Genomic DNA, 25651 nt, shown 5'->3' with positions numbered 1-25651 from the left:
AATATGCCACTTAGTAGAACAATAACCAAAACAATCTCTAAAAGAAAATGCTCAGTTAAAAAGAAAAATTTGAGGAGTTTGTAAAGAATGAGCACAGTGGCATAATGATAAATTGTAAAAATACTATTCTTAAAAAATGTAATGACATTTAATTTTAATAAAAAATATATTTCCGGTCTACATTACTATTAACCTTTTATTCTTTATGTTTGCATTTGAGAGAGCCATTCTGTCCCAATCAATAAGTGTCATCTGTTCTGCACAGTGAGCAACAAGGTGTAAATGAAATGTTGACCATTCCACTTTCTTCATTTTTGCTAATACTCAGAACAGGCTCAAACCTTCAGTCCACCGCTAGATGGCATTAGCCACCTTCGCTTTCTACCTTCCAAAAGAACAACTGGTGACTTTTCTTTAAATTTTATAAATTCAGGTAAGGATATCACTCTGCAATAATAAGTCCAGTTATAAATTATTATCCCTGATTTCCTATTGGTAAGGTTTAACTGCGAATAGAAAATGTATTTGACAAGCATTCTTTGAGTGCCTATGTTTAAAAGCTGGTGATCCAAAAGTGAACAAAAGAGGAAAAAATTATTGGTCTGTGGAACTGATAGGTCCATTCAGAGTTTCCTGATTCCAGAGTATTGCCAAGTGTCCTAACATCCATTTACTAGATCTTAATTTTTACTCCCAGATTCTTGGGCCATTTTCAAATTAGGCAACAGCAGTAATGCAGATGACAATACAGTCATTAGTCATCACAATAATAGTGACAAAAGAGCCAGCTGGCTTTAGAAATATTGGCTGCAATAAACTAGGTTTGGTTTCCTTTTTTTGGTGGAATTACCCTGGTTCAGTAGACCCCCACAGGCGAGGGCAGACTGTTGGCTGGGGAATAGGCTACTATTAGCTTTGCTCTGAGATCCATGAAAATAACACTTGACCTCTGCAATTACTGTTCTCTTACAGTGAAGATCTAAAATCTGTTCCTTTATAATTATATGAAAACACATTTTCTCAAGGGTCTGGTCTACTAAGGCATTACCAAGCAACAGGGTACAACTTGAGGATGTTTCTTTCTTTTTTCTCTTCCCACTGAGCCCTGTACTTAAATGTAAGTTTTAAAATATTATAATCACCAATGTATGTGTTGGAATAAAACATGAAAAATGGGTTTTAATTGGAAATTCTGGGACACATTTCAGTTTAATCCTCTTAGGGGATGTGCCTTTGAAATGCAAAGCTGAAAAGTTCCCTGGAAGTCTTTTTAGAGATGTTGCTGTTTAATTTCCACCTATTTTCCATAAAAGAAGGATAAGGTTCTGTGCTTAAAGCAGCAGAGAAAGAAATTCCAGGACTAATATTGGGAGGGGTTTAATTCATTTAAAGACTACTAGTTGTATTCTTAAGTTAATTTTGTTTATACTTTATAAGTATGTTACTAATTTCTTTTCTTTTCTTTTCTTTTTTTGTTTTTGAGACAGAGTCTTGCTCTGTCTCCCAGGCTGGAGGGCAATGGCACGATCTCTGCAATCTCCACCTCCCAGGCTTAAGTGATTTTCCTGCTTCAGCCTCCTGAGTAGCTGGGATTATAGGCGTGTGCCACCACGCCTGGCTAATTTTTGTATTTTTAATAGAGATGAGTTTTCACCATATTGGCCAGGCTAGTCTTGAACTCCTGACCTCAAGTGATCCACCTGCCTCGGCCTCCCAAAGTGCTGGGATTATAGGCATGAGCCACTGTGCTTGGCAGTAAGCTACTAATTTCTAAAGACAAGTTTAAAATGCATCAGCCTGTTAGTAATTTTATGAAAAATTTAAATTATCTGATTCATAATCATCTTCAAATCTAAACATACTTTTCATTAACTATCTAGATGCTATAGGTAGTTCAAGTTCTAACATGTATTTTTTGTGCCTGAATTATTAAAACAACTATGTACACTGAGCAAATTAACAAGTTCAAGAAAGTTATTTATCTCTTAGCTAACATGATGGGACATTTGACATAATTCTCACAATTCTTTTCTCATGACTGATTACATAATGGAAAGTTCCCCATTTGTTTGTGAAAATATACATATTAGCTCTAAAATATTTCTGATAAGCAATTAAAATATTTTTAATCTATAGCTTAAACCTTACAACCTTGATCTTTTAAAAATTATCTGTTGATATTTTTGGCCTTATATATGTGTCATCATTAGTAATATTTATTTCCAGTTTCTTATTTCTATAAAAAATTCAATGTATACTTTAAAGTTCTTCTAAACTTAAATAGAAAGCAAACTTTTTTTTTTGCCAGAAAGGTATTTTCACAATATTAATCAGATTAATTACTCTCTACTATTTAATTTTCTGTTTTAAAAAAATTGATTAAAATTTCTTAACAGGTTCAAATTTAAAAAGATACAACAGAGTTTACAATGAAAAGTGGGATTTCTTAACATTCCCATCTCTTACTCCAGAGGCAACCAGCATTGCCAGCATTTTCTGTATTTTTCTAGGATACTGTATACGATATCAACACATTCTGCATATATGTATGTGTATGTGTGTGTTGCAGGACATTGACTTTTACACTTAAAATTATATTTTGAAAACAATTCTAGATCTCAGCTGCCTCCCATAGTAGCAATTTTACTGTAACCAATTTCATTTGTTTTCCATTGATAGGCATTTAAATTATTATCAGACTTTGTCAATTATACAATTTTGGAAAAAACACCTTCACATGTACATGATTTCACACAAATGCAAGAATATCTGTACATACTTAGAAATAAAATTGCAGAGCCTTTCTTACAGATTGCATCATTTCAGACTTCCCCAAGGAAGAGTGAAAGTGCTTATCTACCATGCCTTTACTACAGTGTTATCAAGCTTTTAAAATTTGGATCATAGGTGGACACAGTTAAGCACCATAGTTTTAACTTGCATTTCTCTTCTCATGAAGTTAAACAACATTTCATATGTTTAAGAACTATTTATATTTGCTTTACTATAAACTACTACTGATATTCCCTGCCAATTATCCTAGTAGACAGTTAATATTTTTGTTAATTATTTTTAGAATCTCTTTGTATATTAAAGCTATTAATCTATGTGTCAGCATTAGTGCTACTTACTCCCAGTTTCTCATTTCTCTTTTGATGATGTTATGGTTGTTATCTACACATATACTTCTTTATTTTTAGGTGGTCACTGATATTTTCTTCAACTTTTTTCTGACATGTTCTCCTGTAGTCTAAAGATGCACCAAAACTTATTTTCTAGGTATTTCTTTAGCCACTGTGAGTAATCTGTGGGGGTGTTTTGCCTTGGGTAAACATGAAAAACAGACATAGTTACTTTATTCAAGTGTAAAATAAACCTTTTCTTCCTCTCGAACACTGCATTAAATCTTTCTGTTCTGTGGTCAACACGATTGAGAACTTCTTGAGTATGAGTAAACTTGGAAAATTATTACTAAATAAAATCTCAAGGGTTTTATGTCTTTTATTTCTGTTGTTTCTAGTAAATACTTTAGGCAATCTATTTCATGAGTGGATGCTCAATTATATGCTAAAATGTCGGTAAAAACACCAAGTAATATGAAAATAAAAAGAATTACTGATAAAAGAACCAATTTTACCCCACTGATAATAAAAGTAGAATGGAAAAAAAGCAATTCAAACACATTATATATACATATTTTGGGGGAAGGAATAAATAAGTCATTATAAATAAAAGTCATGAAAAAGAACTTATTTTTATTTTCCCTCAAAATCCAATAATAGAACAAAACATGGAAATCAATGAGATGTCAACATTACTGCCTCAAAAAGAAAACTGGTTTTTCTAGACCTCAGATTACACCTCTTCTTTACATGTCACATTTGCAGTTCTATGTTAGACGTCTAAGCCATAATGAAGTTACCATGCACTGCCTGACCTCACTGTGCAGCGCGCCTCACAAAACCTTGGTGTTCCCTCCATCACAACGTAACTTACATAATCAATTACCAGAACACTGCAACACGTGAGTCTGGCCACCAAAAAGTAAGTGGGCCATCTTTGAAAAGATTTTCGGACATGATAATTAGCTATGACGGATGACGCCAACTGAAACGACTTTAAAATGACGCTTGAGCACAGAAAGCATGCTCACACTGTTGGACTTCCAGCTGACGGACTGAGGACCCACATGAAAAGCACATGATGTACCTGGGGCGCGGCTGCCCAGGAACAGCAGGTGTGAGCAAGGGCAAAGAGGCCTGGAAGCAGAGTGGCAAGAGATGGGGGGCAGCGCACACACAGGGCAGACTGGGCGGGCGGGAGCTGAGTGCGCGTTGGTCCTACCACTTAGTTGGACAGCAAGCAGGGGTTGCTTTAGCACCTTTCTGTGGCCAGGCTTTGGGAAGGAGTATGATTTGATTCTTGAGATTATTCCACCCGCTGACCAAGTCTAGAAACCACAACGGCAAAGAGGAACAGTAAATGTTTCAGAAAACAAATACAGGATCCCTTCCACGACATGCTACTTAAATTTGCTTCTATAATCGCACCACTAACCCCCTCCTGTCCCTGCCAATGAGATCGACCACGGGCAACACCTGATCATTGGGAAGGCTTCTGGAAGGGCCTGCCACTTGGGAAGAAGGATCTAGAAATATATTTGGGAAATATGTTCCACTGAAGGCTACAAAATTAGAGCTGTTACATTCACTAGCTCATGCTTCACGTGGAATTATTAAGTTGTAAGCTCAAGACAAACCACCGAAAGAAACTACAAGTAGATCTGAGTGCTCAGTTGTGTTGCTTCTTCATGGTGGGTGCTGGTTCCACGGTGGAAAATTTTGTGGAAATTAATTGAGTTGTACACATAGGGCGTATGCCTTTTTTTTCCCGTATGTATCTTACCAGTCAATTAAAAAGTTATTCCAAAATATCTAACTTCTTGTAGTCATTGGGTGATGATGGCTAAGCACAGGGCTTGACATTCTTTTAAGAGTTCTCAGCCCTAAGCCCTCATCCATCTGAAGGGTGTATGGATCTGTCTCACCGAGCCTATAATATTAAGATAGAGTTGCCAGGCCTGTGAGCCCTGTAAAGGGCAAAATAAAGTCACACTTCCATAAAGGCATTACATTTTGATCCCAAAGGTCACTGGTATTTTAGCAAATTCACGTTCCCTGCATTTGATAACAAGTGCTGCCCCTGGACAGCCTCCCCTGTTTCAACCTGGGCTCAGCTACTGGGCAGCCAATTGTCCCTACTGGAGGCAGGATGTATATTTGGCTTTCTGCAGATTTTGTTTTTCAAGGGTTACCAGGCAAAAAGTGAGGTGCAGAGGGCGCACTTCACAGATGGCATTAAAGGGCATAAAAAGTCCATATGGGCCGGGCACGGTGGCTCACGCCTGTAATCCCAGCACTTTGGGAGGCCGAGGCGGGCAGATCACGAGGTTAGGAGATCGAGACCATCCTGGCTAACGGGGTGAAACCCCATCTCTACTAAAAATATAAAAAAATTAGCCGGGTGTTGTGGCGGGCGCCTGTAGTCCCAGCTACTCGCGAGGCTGAGGCAGGAGAATGGCGTGAACCCGGGAGGCAGAGCTTGCAGTGAGCTGAGATCGCGCCACTGCACTCCAGCCTGGGCAACAGAGCGAGACTCCGTCTCAAAAAAAAAAAAAAAAAAAAAAAAAGGCCATATGTAGCCCCAAGAAAAGAGCAGGAAAATAATTCCTGCTTAGAGCATAAATCTGTACCTGACTTCCTAACAGGCTGGAGGGAGGAGACAGCTGAGGTCCTGTGAATTACGTGTGTTAACATAGACGGCTCAAGGATGAAGTTAAAAAATATGTTCCCATTTCTCAAATATTGCAAGAGGCCTACTTCTGATTTAATATTGGGTTTCATTCGCATTGTGTATATTCTCCAAAAATGAAGAGAATTTCATCTAGACAAGAAGTTAAGAAAATGTGGCTAGGCAGAGTGTGGTGGCTCATGCCTGTAATCCAAGCACTTTGGGAGGTCGAAGCAGGAGGATAACTTGAGGCCAGGAATTTGAGACCAGCCTGACCAAAATGGCAAAACCTCGTCTCTACTAAAAAATACAAAAATTAGCCGGGTGTGATGGCAGGCACCTGTAATCCCAGCTACTCGGGAGGCTGAGGCATGAGAATGGCTTGAAGCTGGGAGGCAGAGGTTGCAGTGAGCCGTGATTGCACCAGTGCACTCCAGTCAGGGTGACAGAGTGAGACACTCCATCTCCAAAAAAAAAAAGCAAAAGAAAAAAAGAAAAGAAAATGTGGTTAGTTTATCACTAATAGGAGGCTGATTCTGCCTAACACTCACTAGCAATCCCAGCTCATCACGGAGTATGTTTTGAAGCGCAATCAAAATATCAATGCCTACTACTCCTGTTAGCTAAAACATGCTTTTCATTTGTGAAATATGCAACAGCTTCTCATTCAGTGGTATTCCTAGTGACACTTACCGCAGGATGGGAACCTGGAAGTTGTGGACGGCCTCCAAAATTAACATTTCCTGGTTAGAGAGAGCATGGACAATTACTGCTCTATCTGAGGAAACCACTTCCTTCCCCTCCCCACTGCAGATCAATCAATGAGATCAGGATGTGCTGCTGCTTGAGAAGTGAGCACGCTTTCTGCAGGTACTTCTTTCGACCCTCTTTTACTTTTTCCCGCATGCAATGAAGACAAATAAATTACAATTTTTTTAAAGTTAAAGCAACTGGCTATTTTTTGATTCACGATATACAAAATCGGAGTGCTCTGATATCATTATTAATCAACCCGTAAAAAGAAGTCCTCATCCAACCCAAATCTGCAATCAGCTAAGTCTAAAATGAGGCTGATTGTCACTGATACCTCAAACACTGAGACTCCAGTGTCTTGGGAACTCACCCTGTGTGCCGATTTTTTGACATGGGACAGTAAGAACTCTTAACAAACCATCTGCTTTATAAGAATAATGCTCGACTAGCTGAAAGAGAAAAAAGTAAGAAAGTGGTAAATACCAAGGTCAGGAAATAGACAAATAGTGACTGAGAGCTACTGACTGACTGTTGGGCTTTCGAAGTGGCCCCAAGACACATAAATGCTTTTATGTGCTTAAGTCCACTCCACAAGGGTGGCTGGGGAAGTGGGCCCACAGCTAGGGATCCCCCCTCTTGGGCTAGGGGCAGCAAATTTTTTCTGTAAAGGGCCAGAAAGTGGTATTTTAGGCTTTTGTGGGCCTCATACCGTATCTGTGTCCTTTGTTTATTTATTTATTTATCCAAAACAACACCTTTAACAGCATACAAACCATTCTCTTCAGGGACTACACAGAAACAGGCTGAGAGCCAGAGTTGGTCTGTGGGTTTGCAGATCCCTGGTCTACAGTAAAGAATATTGAAATAGGGTATTATGGCAATCACCAACTCTCCGTGAAATAGCACTGGGGCCCTGGAGTTGGGTAGGGTACAGAAGTACCTTAGAACGCTGTCAAGAAAAATCAATGAAATCATGCATGGGAAATTGGAACGTATTGCTGGCATTTTTGACGTAGTTTCCTAAACACAGTGCCTAGAAAATATACAATGAGGAATATTTAATTAGGGATGAATGCTATGATCTACCAGGGGAATCAATACAAATAGTAAAGATTCTTGGGAAGGACATTCTCAATAATTAGAGATGCTTAACACTATGGTGAGTGCTCAGCCTTTGAAATGGTGACAGAACGCCACACACATAAAATGCCCTTTCAGGAGAAGGTGAATGAATGGCTGTTTATAAGTGATGGGGCCTGGGACCTTGGAGCATTAAGCTGGCATAGAGGACTCCAGGTGCCTTTGCATTCCAGAAGGCCACATTCCCTACTCACCTCCCTGATGTGCTTTGGGGCTTTGAGTGTAGAAAGGTTAAATACTCTTTCGAATCAATATCGTTAAAAGAAAGAAGCCTGTGGTTAATGATGACAAATGGCAATGAGCCACAAAATCAAAAGACAATGTAAATGTTGTGACTAACATTTTTTAATATGATCATATCCAGCATTCAAAAAAGGAGTATTTTTTTTTTCCAATTACAGCACTAGAAAGCAAATCACATTTGGAAGTAGTAAGTTTAAGTGCTTTAAAGGGGCTAAGGCTCTGTAGTCTCAGTTTTTGAAAAGACAGGATTTTGAGTTGAGTCCTTTCCTCAACATTGACTGCATGTGTGGCCCCAGCTGGGCTTGGGTGAGGACATTGGAACACGCCCTGATTATGCCCCTCACCCACACATGTTCAAGGTAGCTGGTGCTCTGGGGCGGTGGGGTGGTGGCAGAGTCGGTTGGCTTTCTCCCTGTTTCTGAACCTACTACAGTTTATAGGATGCTCTGCGAAGATGATGCACGAAGTACTGTTACGGTTATTTCCTTCATCATCAGCCAGTGTAGCTGTGATGCAAAATTAAGACAAGCAATCTGTGCTCACTGCGATTCAGGGAAAGCAGTGATGAGCATTATTTTAGTGCTCATTAGTGCCTAAGGAACTTCCAAATTGGGAGTTGTTTCAGGGTTTTCTAGTAGCTGGGTCAGGAATAAGCACTTTTTAGACCAGGGCTGTGGCAATCAGCATAAGCAGCAGCCTGGAGCCCAGGGAGTATGCTTCCTAAATTGCCTTAGTTTCCACAGAGAGAGACTCGATTTACAATGAGGAGGGCACCTGACATTTGCTGTCTAATTCAGCCTCTCACACCACCAACAAAGTCCTGCTTGGCTGTTCCTAGGCCTCCTTCCCCAGGCATCCATTCCTTTATTTTGTGTGTCTTTGTCTGAAAGGCTGTTCTGGGCTCTAGTTAGAATATCCTAGGAAGAAATATTTTCTAGATCTCCAAAGAGAGTGTCTTGTTAAACTCTGAACACAGCCCTGCACTTACATCACCTTGTGGCACTGAGGGCTGAGTGGCCCTGAACAAGCCATGGAACCTTCGTTCACCTCACATGACGGCCTCTGGACCAGTGCTTCTCAAACACAGAAGCCACCTGGAGGCTGAAAGTGGGGTCTGATGGGCAGGTGGGGCAGGAGCCCAGGTGTGGTCCAGGTGTGTGTTTCTCATGAGCTCCAGAGCTACTGCTGGCCTGGGGACCACACTGTGGGCAGTGGGTGGTCCAGTTCCTCTCATGTCTAAGAGTCCATGGGACAAGGAGCCCCACGTGCCCTGTACTCTACCCACAAGGTGGGGAGAGGAGGCTGGGTACCTGCCAGAGCGTGTCGAACTTCTTTCCCTCGGGGATGGAGAGCTTCCCTGTCTTGTCTTTGTCGATGCGATAGTGCAGCACCTTCCCTTCGTGCAGCAGGCACAGGGCGTAGGAGCCGTTGTTGTCTCTGGCTCGGATCCTAGAAGAGAGGATGGAACTGCATCATCCCCAGGCCCGCCAGTCTCCAGGTGGGACCCTGGGAGGAAGCACCCTGGCCTGAATGGTCAGCAGCCGCTCTCTGGGGCCTGTCACCTGGCAAGGCAGCTGGAGGGCAGAGTTTGGAGCCTCAGGGTCAAGGGCTTTACCCAACCCAGGAAGGCCCAGTTTACCACTCAGGGATGATGCCAGTGGGCAAGCTTGCAACAAGGAAATGCTAGCAGGTTGGTGATGAATGGACCATGGCTAAGCTCTAGCAGGGCCCAGGAGCTCTGGGCAGTGGTCAGGAGAGCCTGGTGCTCAGTAGCAGTGACGCTTCTCAGGGTGATGAGCACAGGGGCACCACGGGCCCTGATTATCTGTGGAGCACTGTGGACTCACCTTTCTTCACCAGGGCCTGCATTTGGGTTAGATCCAAGATGGACAGCTCTACCACCTAGCTTGGAGTGTGGGTGGGGGTGTTTGGTGGGCATTTTAACCAGCCATCTTCTGGACCAGAGATGGAGGGTTATGGAAGCCTCCATCCCCCGGGCCTTCCTCAGTCCCTCCCATGCTCCCACTGCAGGAAAGGGAGGCAGGGCTGGACTTCCACTCTCCCACTGCAGGAAAGGGAGGCAGGGCTGGACTTCCACTCTCCCACTGCAGGAAAGGGAGGCAGGGCTGGACTTCCAAGCTCCCAATGCAGGAAAGGGAGGCAGGGCTGGACTTCAAACAGTTTCAAATGATGATATTGTCGGGTAACACCCCCAGGAGAAGAAAATGACATCCACTGTGGGGTGAAGAGACAGAGGTGAAACCAGAGCTGTGCTGGCCGTGCTGAGCAGCCAAGGCTCTGTCTTCATGGTAATGCTGGGCGACCCTCAGAACAACCCCCTGCCCTGGGTCCTGGTGAACAGAAACACAGGAGTCTGATGCCAGGCAGGGAACAACACCCCCACTGCAGTGCATGCCACGTAAGGCTTATGACTCATGGGGAGGTGAGAGATCCCCTGGAAGACCTGTGGGACTTGGGGAGTTCGAGGTCCCAGTGGAGGCTGAAAAGGCACGAAATGGGTGCGAATCCCCCAGTTTAGCTTCGTAGTCACACACACTGCCCCATTCTCCCCTCTCCACAGCTGCAGCCCTTTGGTTCATGAGATCTTAGGTTCTGAGGGTGAGTCATGAAGTCCCAGGAAGCCTCTTTGGCCCCTGCATTTTCTAAAATGAGGAAGCTGAGGTCCAAAATTGTTAAGCCACGTGCCCAAATGCACTGTACTTGGGGCAGAGTTCAAGTGTGCCCAACTGCCTTGGGACGTCTGGGTACTGGGGAAATTTCTGATGCCTCCTCCTGGTTGCAAGAAGTCAGATACACGACCACAGGGAGAGTTGAGATGGCCTTCAGAACTGGACATGGCCATGCTTTCCTGTCCCTTGCCATGGAGACTTATCTCAAAAAGCTAACCCAAGACTTGAAAGCTGAACGATGGCATGGGAGGAGTGAAATTCAGAATAAGTGTCTTTTCTAGCGGTGCTTGGCCATGCACAGCACCCCACAGCTCAGGGCAGCTGGCCAGGGTACAGGACACATATCTAGGTTCTCTGTGGCCTCAGCAGGTGGCTGTGCTGAAACCTCCCCACTGTGAGAACAACCTCTTCTTCCCAAACCAACCGAGTTGCCAGCGCCCAAGGTGTGAGCTCCCTTTTCACAGCCACATGGCCGACTACAGCCAGCAGTTGGTGACTGTTAAATACAACACAACACAACACAACAAAAAACCACATGGTAATCTTTTCATATAAAGAGAGAACTGAGTCTGTTTTATAGGGAAAGTATCTTATAAAGTGAGACTATTTATGTTTATTCTATACATATCAGTGGCTTATAGTTTGAGGGTATAGAGAGCTATCCAAATACTACAGCAGTAAGAGTGGATGCATATGCCTATAAAAGTTGGCCTTGAAAGAATGGTGACAATATGTCACTCCAAAGTATTTCCTATAATTTAATCTTTTACGTCTGTGACCTCAAGGTCATGGAGATAATACATGGGATCTGAACCAGGTGCAGTGGCACACATCTGTAATCCTAGCACTTTGGGAGGCCAAGGCAGGAGGATTACTTGAGCCCAGGAGGTGAAAGCTGCAGTGAGCCAAGACTGCACCATGGCACTCCAGCCTGGGCAACAGAGTGAGACGCCATCTCTCCAGAAAAAAAGATAGTAGTAATAAATGGGATCTGAACTCTGGTTTCTGAATCCATGTCCAATCTGCTGTACTCCATCTTACCCTATGTCTTGATTGACATTTTCTTGTTAAAAACTGAGACAGACAAGCACAGGTTTCCCTGAGAGATGATGCCATCAACCTCATTAGGCATCTGGCAAACATGAATGAAGACCCCAGGGAAGTACCATTCCACGCTCTTCAGACTGGTGGAAGTTAGAAAGATCATTCTAAGTGCTACTGAGAGTGGGGAGCAGCAAGGCCCCTCCTACGTTGCTTGTGGGAGCATAAATGGGCTCACCCACTTTGGAAAACAATTTGGAACAGTCTCCTGAAACTGAACTTATTCATTCACAGACCTCGTGAATGAGCAATTCCACCCCTAGGTGTATGAAATGTGTGCACTATGCACCCCAAGGCTACTTATAGCAGCTTCATCTGTGCTTATCAAAAACTGCACACAACGTAAGTGACCACAGAGCAAGTAAATTGTAGGAATTCACACAATACTGTATTCTAAAGCAATAAAATGAGCAAATGGTAGCTATACAAAGCACAGATGAGTCTCACAAACATAAAACTCACTCCATGCTACCATATACACAAAGTCCCCAAACAGACAAAAGCCACCTGTTTTATCTAGTGATGTACACCTAGGTGGTAAAACTAAAAAAACAAACAAATGAAAAATAACAAAAAAAGCAAGGGCGTGATGAACACAAGAGTTCAGGAGGTGGTGCCTCCCAGGAGGCCAGCTGTACAGATGGGTATGAGTGTGTGAGGGCGGAGTGGTCTCCTGCAATGCTGGGTGCATTTCATTTCTTGACTGGGTTGTGTTTGCTTGATAATCATTCATTAAGTTGTACCTATTTAGTTATGCACTCTTATGTGTTTGTTTTATATTTCACAATAAAAGCAGTATAAAAAGAGAGCTGGTACCAGGAGGAAATAGAGAGCAACCCAGAGGAAACAGAGAGTGCCCTTTGCTTTGGAACAAGCAGTTTCTGCAAAGGCCTCACTTCCTTGAGGCTCTTCAAGAGGACAGGTTCTGCAGGCGATCCCCTCTCTTCCTGTGCTCCACCAAGCAGCCCTGGCCAGTCCTGGCAACAGGTAACTGGAAGGTATAGGTAGTGACCATGGACATGTGGCCTGGGCAGCCCCCTGTGGCAGGTGGCAGGAAACAAGAGCAGAGAAAGGAAACCCACAGGCCCAGCATCTGTAGGTGGCAAAGACCAGAAGGCTCGCGACATTAACCACCAGCAACTGTGAGGTATCTGTTGGCTGCAGGCAGATCCTGGACCAGGCCATTTTTAATTAAACATAGGAGACAAACTGATTTGGAAGGCTTGCTCCTCCTCTTGGCTGTGTCCTCTTACTGAGAGCTTTGCCCTGGTGGTGGCATCAGGACACCCACCCAGGCTTATGGCTCTACAGACACCCAGAGAGGGCGTGCACACAGGCAAGGCTCCTGGCTCCTGTCTGGCTTGCTGCCTTCCGCCTTCAGGGTCATCTGGCCTCAGGCTGTTCACAGAAGCCTTTGAATATTTACAAAATATTTTTTCCCAGTAATTGTCTTGGGAGGAGTAAGTTAACAGATTTGTGTTTTGCTATTGCAAAGCCTGAGATTTCCAGGGCTTGAGCTTGAGATGATGCTGAGAAGCTGTCCTAACTGGTCTTGAGACAGTCCTTGACCTGCGGCATGTCTACTTTCCCAGGGTAGGCAGCCTTGGCCTCTGGGGTGAGCAGGCCTTGTGCCTCACAGACACTAGAACACTATCCAAAGGTGAGGCATGTTGACTCTGCTGGGGCATGGCCTGGAAGGGCTGGACTCCTCTACTCTCCTGCACCCTCCTAGGGGAGAGAGAATATACAGAGGTGATGCCCGGGCACCAAGGGGAAAGTGAGGATGTAAGAAGTAGTGAGGCACTCAAGGTGGCCTCCCCAGGGCTACGGGGACACTGCCTGTATCTGCTGTAGACGGAACAGAAAAGCCGGGCACATTCCAGCCCACTAGGTGTTCTCATTCTCCCCTGCCATTTTTTTTCCATGGCAGAGTAGAGTATCACCGGGTCAGTTGTCAGACTCATACAAGGGGAAGGAAGATGCCTGGGATTGGCTGTGTGCATTAGATGTGCAAAGGATGAATGCTCACTGTGGCTAAGGTGGGCTGGGCAGATGGACAGAGGGGGCCTGTGCTGGGTTGGGTGGGCAGTTCTCACTCAGAGCCATCTCCCAACAGTGGTTTCTCAAAGAGAGCTGGGAGAGGGGAAGAGGAGGATGTGGGAGCGAATGAGGTCCTGAACAGTGTGTATGTCAGCAAGAGGCAGGAGAAATGCCAGCTTTACTGATCCATGAAAGATATAGATAATGCAACTTCTGAGTGCTTCTGCCTTGCGCCATAGCACTACTGAGGCACATGTGCATTCCACACAAAGAAGAGCAAGATCAGTACACAATCCCTATCTGAGGCCACACCAAGCTGTTTTAACACACCTGTCGTTTAAAACATTTTATTACAAACGCCCTCTCATTCTCTCCCTCTGCTTTAGTTCATGAAGGTGGAATTATTTAACGCATCTTGTCTTTCAGCTTCAAGGAGACTTTGATCAGCATCAATGAAGTGATATTGACATCAGCCCACAACTCTCTTTGAAGTTTTAACTTCAGACAGGTCATGACTCTTTATGATGACCTAGGTCTGCAAAACCACATGTGTCAAATAAAATGGCATACTTTGATCAATTACGGCAGCATATGAAAGCACTGATGGAACAGAGTTTTTGTTGTGGCAAAGGAGGCTCGTGACAGCCTAACACAGTCTCATTCCTCAATGAACAAGGAAAAGGTTTTTCCTAAGCCGCAAATTCACTTTTGAAATTGAAGTATAGGACAAAAAGTGAGTTGAAACTTGAACAGCAAAAAGTGAGTGGCAAATGAGAGCAATTAAAGTGGGTTTGGCCAAAGGGCCAATGCCAATATCAGCACAGCTGTGGACAGGGACAGAATCTCAGGCCAGCAGCCCAGTGAGCACCTGGATGTGGGATTCCCACCTTAAAGCAAGGACCTGTGAAGAGGAAATCCCCTTCAACTCTGGAGGAAAGTGTTCCCAGCATCGAATACTCAGGATTCCCACAGATTAATATCAATCAGGCATAAGCTCAGAAAGATCACTGAAAACATAAGGAAGCATGAGTTATGAGAAAAGGGGTAGGGAGGGAAAGAGAGAGAGATTTACATCCTCCAAAAGTTTCGGTAGTAGAATAATCAGATATAGAATATAAACTATGAAATGTTTAACAAAATAAAAAACGGAACCATGGAAATTAGCAACCAATAAGATACTCTAAAAATGCCCCAGAAATATTTGAAAAAACAAACAAACAAACAAACAAACAGAACTGCTAGAAATTTTCTAAAAAATGTAATTAAAAAAAATCAGTGAATGAGCGTAAGAGCAGATTGGACACAAATGAAGGAAAAATTAGTGCGCTGGAAGAATAATTCAACGACGTTACTCATAGCACAGGACACAGAAAAGGCAAGGGAAAATAAAAAATATAAAGGATGAATTGAGAAGGTCAAACTGTATTTAATAGGAGTCTCTGAAGGAAGAAATGGGCAAGAACAACAGAGAGCAATATTTGAAGAAAAAAGTAGCAAGATGTTTTTCAGAACTGATGAAAGAAAAGAATTCATGGATGTAGGAACCACAGAGACATGAGAACCATTGGCTTAGCTTTATACACATTACTTAAGTCATCTCCATAATGACTCAGATAAAACATCAGTCTCCCCATTTTATTACTGAGGAAACAGAGGCTCAGAGAGCAAAATTAAGTTGTCCAAATCACAGAGCTATTAAGTGGCAGGGCCTGTCTGACTCATGGCCTGAATTTCTTTACTATCTAACTTAAGTTTCTAGAAATAGAGGCATTTTCAAAGATAACTTTATCGGAACCAGTCCAATAATACAGTATTTGGGCATTTTGCAGGAATTGCAACTGCAAATGCAGTTACAGACCCTCCAATGAACTATGAAAATCTCAAATGATCATAGTTGTTAATCCAGCCCAGGTAGGTAACAGGTATCTCAAACAGGCTCACACCATATCCCCAGACCAGCAGCATCAGCATCATTTGAGAACTTGGCAGGAATGCAAATGGAAGAGTCCTTACACAGACCTGTGAATTAAAAACTCAGGGGATGGAACGCAGACATCTGTGCTTTTGCCAGCCCTCCAGATGGTTCTTTCTTTTTCTCTGTCTGTCTCTCTCTCTCTCTCTCTCTCACACACACCCACACACACACACACACACACATATTCACTCAATAGCTCATTTGTGCATCTTAAGTTACGGGCTCCATGGGTGGCCCTGCAGGATAAACCAATGAACAATAAGAATAGACAGTCCAGAGAAGTTTTGCACCCCATTTTTTTATGCAGCTAAGGACTAGAAGATACAGTGATTCTGGCTTTCTAAGAAAAAGGGTTGTGTCCACCAGAATCAGGGGTGTGCAAATCAGAGCCATACAGCCCTCGTCCAGGAGCAGGCCCTGGGTGGGACCCAGCCTGGGGACACCAGATAACATACCTGTCACCTTGAACATGAGAACAACACCTCTCACCAATGCTCACACCCTTCACCTCCCCTCCCCAGCAGGTGGCTTGCATGGCAGGTGACGCCTTGCTTTGGAAACAGATGTTATTAATCCTTTGCAGTGCAAGTGGGACTCAGTATAAGGGAATCATAAAAATTTTATTCACGTATATCCCATTTCTCTAAGAAATTGAGACAGTTCCTAAAGACATATACTTCAGTATTCTATATGACCAGGAAACAAACCTAAATTAGGATAAACCACGGAGAATGGATGCAGTACTTTAAGTTGGGCCCCACAGGTTGTGCACAGGTCCACAGGAGATGATATGCAGCCGCGGTTCTCAAGTGTGTGTGTGTGTGTGTGTGTGTGTGTATGTATGTGTGTGTGTGAGAGAGAGAGAGGCGGGCTGTAGGGGGAAGAAGTGAGGGGATGGGAGTGTGTGCAGACATGAGGGAAAGGAAGGGGAGAAGAGAGGTGGAGATAACGAGTGTGTCATGCTGCACCTGGAACTTGGCTAGTACAAAAGGGATGACTCAAAGATTACACTGCTTATTTCTTTTCAAAATGGACAGGGGAAGGAAGGTCAGGAGGGCACCTGAATTTCAGCTGCAGGGCATATAAGAACAAGCCACATGGGGATTCAGTGGTGGCATGGGGGTTGGGAAGGGGTGACTACCAAGGCCTCTGAGGGCAAACTGCACTCACCGTCGGTCCCTGCTCTGAGGGTTTCTGCGCTTTTTATCTGATCCTGCATACTTGGAACAAGGGCTTCCTGGGAATCGTTTTAACTAATGTATTAAAGAGCTATCATGGAAAGGAGCACTTCTAGGGTCCCAAGAGATCATGTACAGCAACTGTGGCCTGAGTGGAGTACATCAGGCCCACTTAGCTGCAGGGGACAGTGATGTTCTTGCAACTTTAGGACCCACCAAGCCTGCAGGCTTCCCATCCTCCTCACTCACTCTTCAACATGCATGCCTCTCAGATCGCTGAGGCTCACAACCTCCTGGGCTTCCTCTCTGACTCAGTTTCTCTCCAGACATCTGCAAACTACTGGGCCTGATCACAGCCCAGCTCTCCAGGTGCCTCTCCTGCTGTGAGCCGTCAGAGCAGCCGCCCCTGCTCCATGCTGCACACTCGGGGCAGCTGAGCAGCCAGGATCTCTCTCAACACCTCATGGTGTGGCCTGGGGCAGCCACGTGCCAATCCCTCCACCACCCGGCCAGTCTGCCACCATCAAGGAAAACTCTGCCACCATCCATAGAATCTCAGGGCACCAAAATGGTCTCAGGGCACCACGTGACCATGACATGGTGCTGCCTCCTGGGGCTCGGACTGGGGTTCTGTAGATGCCCGGGCTCCTGCACACCCACTCGGCATCCACCGCTTCACTTCCCTCCCTCTCCTGCAGGCATCCAGGCCTGCCCTGGCCACCATACCCATGCTACCCCGTGAATCTCTTGCTGCCCTGCTCTCTTTTTTTTCTTTTTTATTTTATTTTATTTTATTATTATTATACTTTAAGTTTTAGGGTACATGTGCACAATGTGCAGGTTAGTTACATATGTATACATGTGCCATGCTGGTGTGCTGCACCCATTAACTTGTCATTTAGCATTAGGTATATCTCCTAAAGCTATCCCTCCCCGCTCCTCCCACCCCACAACAGTCCCCAGAGTGTGATGTTCCCCTTCCTGTGTCCATGTGTTCTCAATGTTCAGTTCCCACCTATGAGTGAGAACATGCGGTGTTTGTTTTTTTGTCCTTGCGATAGTTTACTGAGAATGATGATTTCCAATTTCATCCGTGTCCCTACAAAGGACATGAACTCATCACTTTTTATGGCTGCATAGTATTCCATGGTGTATATGTGCCACATTTTCTTAATCCAGTCTATCATTGTTGGACATCTGGGTTGGTTCCAAGTCTTTGCTATTGTGAATAGTGCCGCAATAAACATACGTGTGCATGTGTCTTTATAGCAGCATGATTTATAGTCCTTTGGGTATATACCCAGTAATGGGATGGCTGGGTCTGCCCTGCTCTTTTGTTGCATCTGCCTGGTGAGGTGTCAAGCTCTGCCAAATCCAGTCAGCCCACTTGCTCTGAAGGCCACTTCCCAGTTCCTATAGTTAGCGACACACTAGATGATAGTCCAGCCTGGGCACCTGAGACAGGCCCGATGAACCATGTTGTCCCTCCTCCTATCCAAGTAGTGGCCACCATTCAAGTTAGCAGCCAGAATGTTCCTTTACCCAGAGAGATTTTTCCCACCAAGACCATGTTCTAGGTGCTGGGTTGCACTCGTGAAGGCAACAGCCCCATCTCTGCCCTTGTGCATCCAGCACAAGTGGGGGTGGGGACTATAAACAAGTAAATGAAAACAAAATCAAGATCATGCTGCGTAGGCCCAGTGTCGTGGTGGAGGGGACCTACTGCCATGCATTGCAGACTTTGCAGCACATCAGCTTGCGTTTGTCATCTTCCCCCTGCAGTCAAAGTCCGGTGAGGGCAGGGACTAAGGTCTGACTTATTCCTCACAGTAGCCAAGTCCTATCACAATGCCTGCTGCATGTCTGGTTGAAAACATGCCTATTTTGTTGAATGAATGACTGTTTTTGTAACTTTTTTTTCTAAAGTCAGAAGGTAGAAACTGTAGTTAAAATAGCATTGGTGACTTACTGGTTGGACGACTCCATCCACAAATCTGAAATACTACCTTTTATTTTTAACATTAATCGAGCTATTTGGAGAGCAGCCACTTATGTGTCTTAAAGGTCACCTTGAAATTGTTCTTGGCTTTGTAAGATTTACAAGGACTCTTAGCCAAAAACAATACACTTAATACAAAGAAACAATACTTCCATCTTTAAAATTTTGCCTGGCATGGACTTTTTAGAGCATTTCCATTCTAAGATCATTTATAAGATGAAATGAAGGCCACATCCCATTACATTTTAGCAGAGCGATGTGTGTGGGAGAATTGGCTGTGCACAATGGCAATAAACCACATTGTGTGAACCAAGTGGATGAGGGTCAGAGAGGAGTTGATCACAGCCTCCTCCAGACCAAGAGGAGCCCAGCAATGTGACTGCACGGCCTTAGGTTTTGTACAGATTGCAAAAGATATTTTAGTCACAGCCAGGGAAGCTCACTCTGTTCTACTTTATCTTCCCCTCCCAAATTTGACAAGGATTCTAAAAATGTACATGATATTATTAATAATGAAGTGTGAACCTAGAGGAAGGAATGAATAGTCTCTTTTTCTATATATAGACAAATATATTATTAAATATTGTTGAACTAAGATGTAGTCAAACACAGTGAAGTCAAGGACATGGAGGAAACAAAAGGTGTTATAGAGACGTGTCAGGCAGTTAATTAAAATATTACATTATCTTTTCTAAAGTTTGTATGCTTGTAGTATTGACCAGCCTTTAAAAAAATTCTAATTTATTGAATTTTTTTCCTTAGTCCAAAAAATACATTCTATTGTATGCCTAATTTTATATTTTTAAAAAAATAAGAGAGTCTTCAAATTGTATATGCTTCGGACCCCTCAATCCTGGATCCTCCCTTTTGGGGAAGGGATATATAATTTTTATAAAGTAAGCTTTGTTTCCTTTTCCTAACAAATTCATTTTTCACAGACAGCTGTGACTAGCTTCTCAAAATAGCAAACTGTGCTGCTATACAAGGCCTCTGGGGGCAGGGGATCTCCTTCCCCACTCAGCTCCTCTCCCTTGCCTTGGTCCCTGACGTCACCAACAAGGCAGCACTCTGACCCTCACCCACCAAACGTGGGCTGGAGGACTCCCCCTCCAGTGCTCGCTTCTGGCCAGCTAGACCCCAGACAAGGGCAGTGCTTATATAGCAAAGGCCAGGTGATGAACATCACCTCCAGAAATGCCACAGGCGGCTGTGAGGGACAACCACTGACCCACACTGCCCAGCCCCTCCACAAAGAGCCTCTGTTTATATTCGTTATTCTTCAAGCACATGTGCAAAGGCCCTGTAACTACCTTCTCAAAGTCACTCCTGAATGGTGTGGGTAAGCTCTGTGGACAGGACACAAGAGAGGGGAAAGCTGATGGACGCCTCTGTGTGTTCTGAGATTTCACATGGACATGCCCTGGTGCTGCATCTTGCATGGGGAATAGGGAGGGGCCTGTGGTTGTGGAGATGGATCCATCTGGAGATGGATTTGGTTGCTGGCTGCTGTTTCTGCTTAGCCCCAGACAACATCAGGGACCTGGTTTTGCCTTCCTGCCTTGGACAAGCTCCTCCACACCCGAGTTCTTGTTTGAAAAACAATAAGTTTAGCCCCCTTAAGTGGTAAATGCCCTCTAGCTCAGGTGTACTCTCACTGTAAGTGGATTTCACATATAGTTCTGAGGAGAGAAAACTGGGATCCGAGTTGGACAGCATCTCCCAGACGTAATCTGCTTCCATCATCTGCATTTTGAACTGCATTACCTAGGATTTATAATCAGATTTTGATCTCCAAAATATGCTGCCTTACCCTCAGTGTTTTCAAGGTCTGTTTGAGCAAAGGCATTTTGTGATGGCTATGGAGGTGCATGCATTTCAGGAATTCTTTTTTTTTTTTTTTTACCTTTTAGTCCAATTCTTACCAATGCCACTTTCCACGTAAAGCGATTCTCAGACTGAAATGCTGGCATCTGAATGGTGGAGACAGCATATTGGTACTCACGATGAAAGTGTGAAGAGTAATCGCTGGGATTTTGTTTACCCATATTATCCACCAAACTAGTAAAATCCTCTTGATTAGTTTATGGCTTGCAATGCAAAAATAAACTTCCAACCCCCTCTGTGAAATAATAATAATAATAATATATATATTTTTTGAGATGGAGTCTTGCTCTGTTGCCCAGGCTGGAGTGCAGTGGCACAATCTTGGCTCACTGCAACCTCCGCCTCCTGGGTTCAAGAGATTCTCCTGCCTCAGCCTCCCAAGTAGCTGGGACTACAGGCACACACCACTATACTCAGCTAATTTTTATACTGTTAGTAGAGATGGGGTTTCACCATGTTGGCCAGGATGGTCTTGATCTCTAGACCTTGTGATTGCCCGCCTCAGCCTCCCAAAGTGCTGGGATTACAGGCATGAGCCACCATGCCCGGCCGAAATAATTATTCTTTATTTAAGTCTGTCACTTCATAAAAGCAAAAGCCTAGTGTGAATCCTTTTATGGCCAGTGACTCTCACTCTATCTATTCATAGCCACAGAGTGGAAATAAACACACCTACTGCAGACTGAAGAAGAGAAGGGAAGGATAAGGGGGACCTGCCTGGTTTTCTCACCTGCAGAAGAATGACTCACCTGCAGAGGTCATGGTACACCTGTGATGCAGGGATGGAAAGAGTTTGCATGGAGGACCTGACCTTCAGTGTATGTTACTGATGTATCCAAGTGTGGTCCAGGCCACTGCAGGAGTGGGGTGAAGCTGCTTCGTTCGGTGCCAAGCACCGTGCAGCAGGCCTTCGGTTTATGATACTCTATAACCCTCAATGACTCTAAGAGTCAGAGATGACATTAAAGCCATTTTACAGACAAAGAAATGAAGGAAACAGACCACTGAGTAACTTGCTCAAGGTCCCATAGCTGGTGATAAGGTGGAGCCAGCATTTGAGGCCAGACAACCCGAATGGTATGTTGTTAACAGGCCACACTGCCTCCTACCCAGAGAAAGTGAATCTTACAAACCATAGAGTGCGCAGTGTCATGTTTTTATATTTCTATATCTATTGCTGTGTCCCTGCATCTGTCCATCAGTAATGATTTAAGAGGAGGTAGAAAGAGGTGCAAGAATCCCCATTCCCTCCCCAACATAGACAGGTGTGGAGCTGCCCCCATACAGAACTACAGTGGTATTACTACATGTCAGGAAGTGGAAAGCAAAAACGAGCTGGGAGATGGAGAATGGATCCAAACAATTCATTGATTTAGGTGACAAGCATTCATTGAAAACCTCTTAAGGGCCAGCCCACAGGCCTGTACAGGACCCAGGTAAAAGCACGGTGGGTGGGGTGGACAGGAGATCAGAGCGGAGACAAACTGACTGATGCTCAGGCATGAGAAAGTGAAGGCCCTGAAATCACGATAAAAAAATCAACACATTTGGTTTGCAAGTATATGTACAGGCACAACTCCCCACAGCAAACCGATGATGTGGCAGCCAGGCAGAGCCCACCGAATGTCAGCTGGCCCTGGCCCTTTGCTTCCTAAAGACAGCCCCCCCAACTTGCCCAAAGCAGGGTCCTCCCAGTGCCGTGAGTGCTCTGCAACCTGGCCCTCAACTCCACCCTTCTCCACTCACTCTCTGCCAGTGACACTGGCCTCTGTGGGTGCCCTGCTCCCCAGGCACGCTCCTGCCACAGGGCATTCGAATTTGCCATTCCCTGGGTGGGGATGGTTCCTCGCTGCCTTCAGGCCTCTTCTCAATGGCCTCCCTCACAGCAAGGTCCATCCTCCCCACGCAGCAGAAAGAAGACCCAGCATCCATACCCCAGTGTGCTCTACGCCCTTACTTAAATGCAGTTCTTTCCTATTGTTCAGCGTCTTTTCTCCCACTGAAATGCAGGGTCCATGAGGGCAGGTGCTTGCTGATTCACTTCTCCCTTCCCAAAGTCCAGAATGGTGCCTGGCACTTAGTGCTTCATGCAACTACAGACTCCAGTAATGTTGGTCCATGGATGGATTAGCTGACATGATGATTGGAAAGTAGACATGAGCACATTCGTTAGGAGAATCTGAATGAAGGCCCGAGAAGAACAGTGGGAAAAAAACAGCAGCTGGCTCAGTGAGGACATCCAGCAGTGACTGGAATCTAGTTCTGACTCCAAAGACCTTGTGCTGTGGCTATTCGTTGCAAATAATGTGCATTTTATAAAACTATCTGCAAGTAGGGCAGATTTGGATGATTCAAAACCAGGTCTGGGACTTCCTGCAACGTTGGCCTGACCCAACAGGGGAATATAGGACAGACTCCCACAGTGAATCAGGAGCTGACGCACTCACACTGAGAGGGCAGCCACAGGATCTGGTGATGGTTTACAAGAGTTCCCTGGAGCCTTTTAGCTCTATTTCCCATGAAAGAAACACACAAACAAACACTTCTAAAGATGAAAGAATCTGGACCAACGTCTAGGCAACCTGGACTTGGGAGACGTTGTATTCAGGGATGCAGACCCTGCCCCGTGCTGGAAGCATGGTAGACTTGGACTGTATCCAGTATGCTGGCAAACTCTCCCTGCTCTCCACAAGCATACACAACCATATTCAAACACTCACAGTATAACACGCCCACTACACTGCAACAAGGAAGGTTTACACACCCAGCAACAGCCAAGAACCCCAGCCAGGTTCTGTAGGAGATGAAAGGTTGTCAAGAGGTGAAATTGCCAGGTGGCAAACCCCTCCAAGGTGTTTCCTCACACTTTCTCTGTTAAAAACACCATAAGATACCCTGACAAGGAGACTTTCCTGGTGCTCATGATGGAGAAAGAGCACTGAAGAGAGAAGAAAAGCTACATCAGTGATGACCACATGTGCTGTGCGGTGTACGTGGTGTGTATTTTCATTGAATCCTCAAGACAGTCACAGACCCAGAGGAGCAGAGCCTGGGGAAAGTTTCCCTTAGTCTAAGGTTCTACAACCATCATGGGAACATGGGTTCTGAAGCTGGGTCTTGCTGCCCAGGCTTAGCTCTGCTCTTCCCTCTCACTAATACCCTGCCTGATGCCAGGCCTGGGCATGGGGTGCTATGCACCATCAGTCCACAGGTGAGCCCTGCAGGTGTGGAGGGAGCACGGGAAGGTGTGGGACTGAGCTGTGGACAACACAAGGGAGAAAGCCTTGGAAGCTATTATCTGGGAGGTTGGCAATTATGGGGTGATAACTGGACAACTGCAATATAAAGTGGAATAAGAACCCAGGAGAATAAGAACCCAGGAATAAGAACCCAGGAGAAGAAGACAACTAAGGAGAGGGTGCTCGATGAAAACACAGAAGCCCAGGCCCCTCTCTCACAGGCCCATGCCTGGTTAGCTCTGACACCAGCTGAATAGGAAGCACGGCAAGTTTGAGACTCTCTTGCATAAACCATAAGCCTCAGTGTCAGGGACATGTGCTGTGAGGACACATGAGATGTCAGTCTGTACAGGGCAGATAGGGAACAAGGCATGTTCATCAAACAAGAGCTGCACCTCCCAGCCTTCTGCATGGGGTTTATATACATCTCCCAGAAAGGAAGGAGAGAGCAAAAGTCATGGCCATGAAGGATGCAACTGCTGTTTTCGGGAATAGACAACTCCGAAAAAAGAAACAGCTTCGTGGCCAAAGAGGCTATGAGCAGGCTTCTTAACCAGCAGAAGTTGGCCAGCCTCATCGTGTGGATTATGCTATTTTGGGTTGACTTCACATGCCAAGATGCTATGTGCATGGTCCCATGACATTCATGTTGGAAATTATTGCTGAGATGGTAAGAAGCCAAACCTCAGCAAAAATAGCCATAGGTGCCTCCACTGAGGGGCAATGTCTTCCCTCCCCACAGCATTCTGCTGCTGGCTGGGGCTGCATCCCACTAAAGACCATCACTCTAGGCACTGCCGCGTGGCAACCTGGGCCACTCTTCCTTCTTCCTTTTTTTTTTTTTTTTTTAAGAGTATTGTGGTCAATTTTTCTTTTCTTTTTTTCTTTTTTTGAGACAGGGCCTCACTATGTTGCCCAGGCTGGTCTCAAACTAGCCTCAAACGATAGTGAGATCATAGTGAGGATGAAGCGATCCTCCTGCCAGGAGTAGCTGGGACTACAGGTGCGTGCCACTGCACTCAGCTAAGATCATTTTTAAAATACAAGGTATGACAGTGAAGTCTGAGGAAATTCCTTTGAATAGATGGACAGGCAGAGAAAACGCTTCTAAATCTAGGAAAAGTTTACGAAGTCGGCTGGGGATTCACCAATTGCCAAACCATGAGGCTGCATCGCTGTTTCTGGTTATGTTTCCAAGGTAAGCATCTCTGTAGGGACACTGAGAGGTGACCAGGGGATCATTTCCCCCAGGGACAACTGCCCCACTGAGCCACCTTGACCAGACCCCCTCGAGGGAACAAGGTTGACACCTCCCAAAGACAGTTCTTTACCTTCTCTGGACAACTGACTGACCACGTTGGCCTGTATCTCAGAACCTTCTACAATTTAGATTTACACTGAACCACTGAGGATAGCAAACAGAACCCAGGATTCAGACAGACCCTCTAATGACTGTGGGCCTAAGGCTGAAGTCTTCAAACCTGCACTCACCACTCATGGATGCTACTCCCAGGAACTTTTCCTTAACATCTTTCCTGTTGGCATCTTGTTTCATGTAAAATAGAAGTAAAGTCTGAGATCAAGGGGGTAGTTTGAGTAAAAAAACTGCAGTATTTTAA

The 25651-nt window shown here is 44.7% G+C and overlaps 1 protein-coding gene across 9 annotated transcripts in view; it reads right to left on the bottom strand.

The window, feature by feature from the left end:
• SYK (spleen associated tyrosine kinase) overlaps positions 1–25651 on the bottom strand; it is a 96950-nt gene that overhangs the window by 26969 nt on the left and 44330 nt on the right. For 5 of the 9 annotated variants that reach the window (XM_011518946.4, XM_047423809.1, XM_005252147.5 and 2 more), the window contains 4 exons: positions 9237–9375; positions 6914–6992; positions 6484–6533; positions 4382–4450 (listed from right to left, as the gene is read on the bottom strand). In XM_011518946.4, the coding sequence (XP_011517248.1) occupies positions 4382–4450; positions 6484–6533; positions 6914–6992; positions 9237–9375 (337 nt within the window). Of the gene's footprint in view, positions 1–4344; positions 4451–6483; positions 6534–6913; positions 6993–9236; positions 9376–25651 lie in introns of all 9 variants that reach the window. The other 4 variants (NM_001174168.3, XM_047423810.1, NM_001135052.4 and 1 more) reach the window with 2 other exon arrangements.

The sequence above is a fragment of the Homo sapiens genome, chromosome 9 (assembly GCF_000001405.40).
Source record: "Homo sapiens chromosome 9, GRCh38.p14 Primary Assembly".
Lineage (NCBI taxonomy): Eukaryota > Metazoa > Chordata > Mammalia > Primates > Hominidae > Homo > Homo sapiens.
The sequence above is the reverse complement of the archived record's forward strand: the minus strand, read 5'-3'. Positions and strand labels throughout refer to the sequence as shown.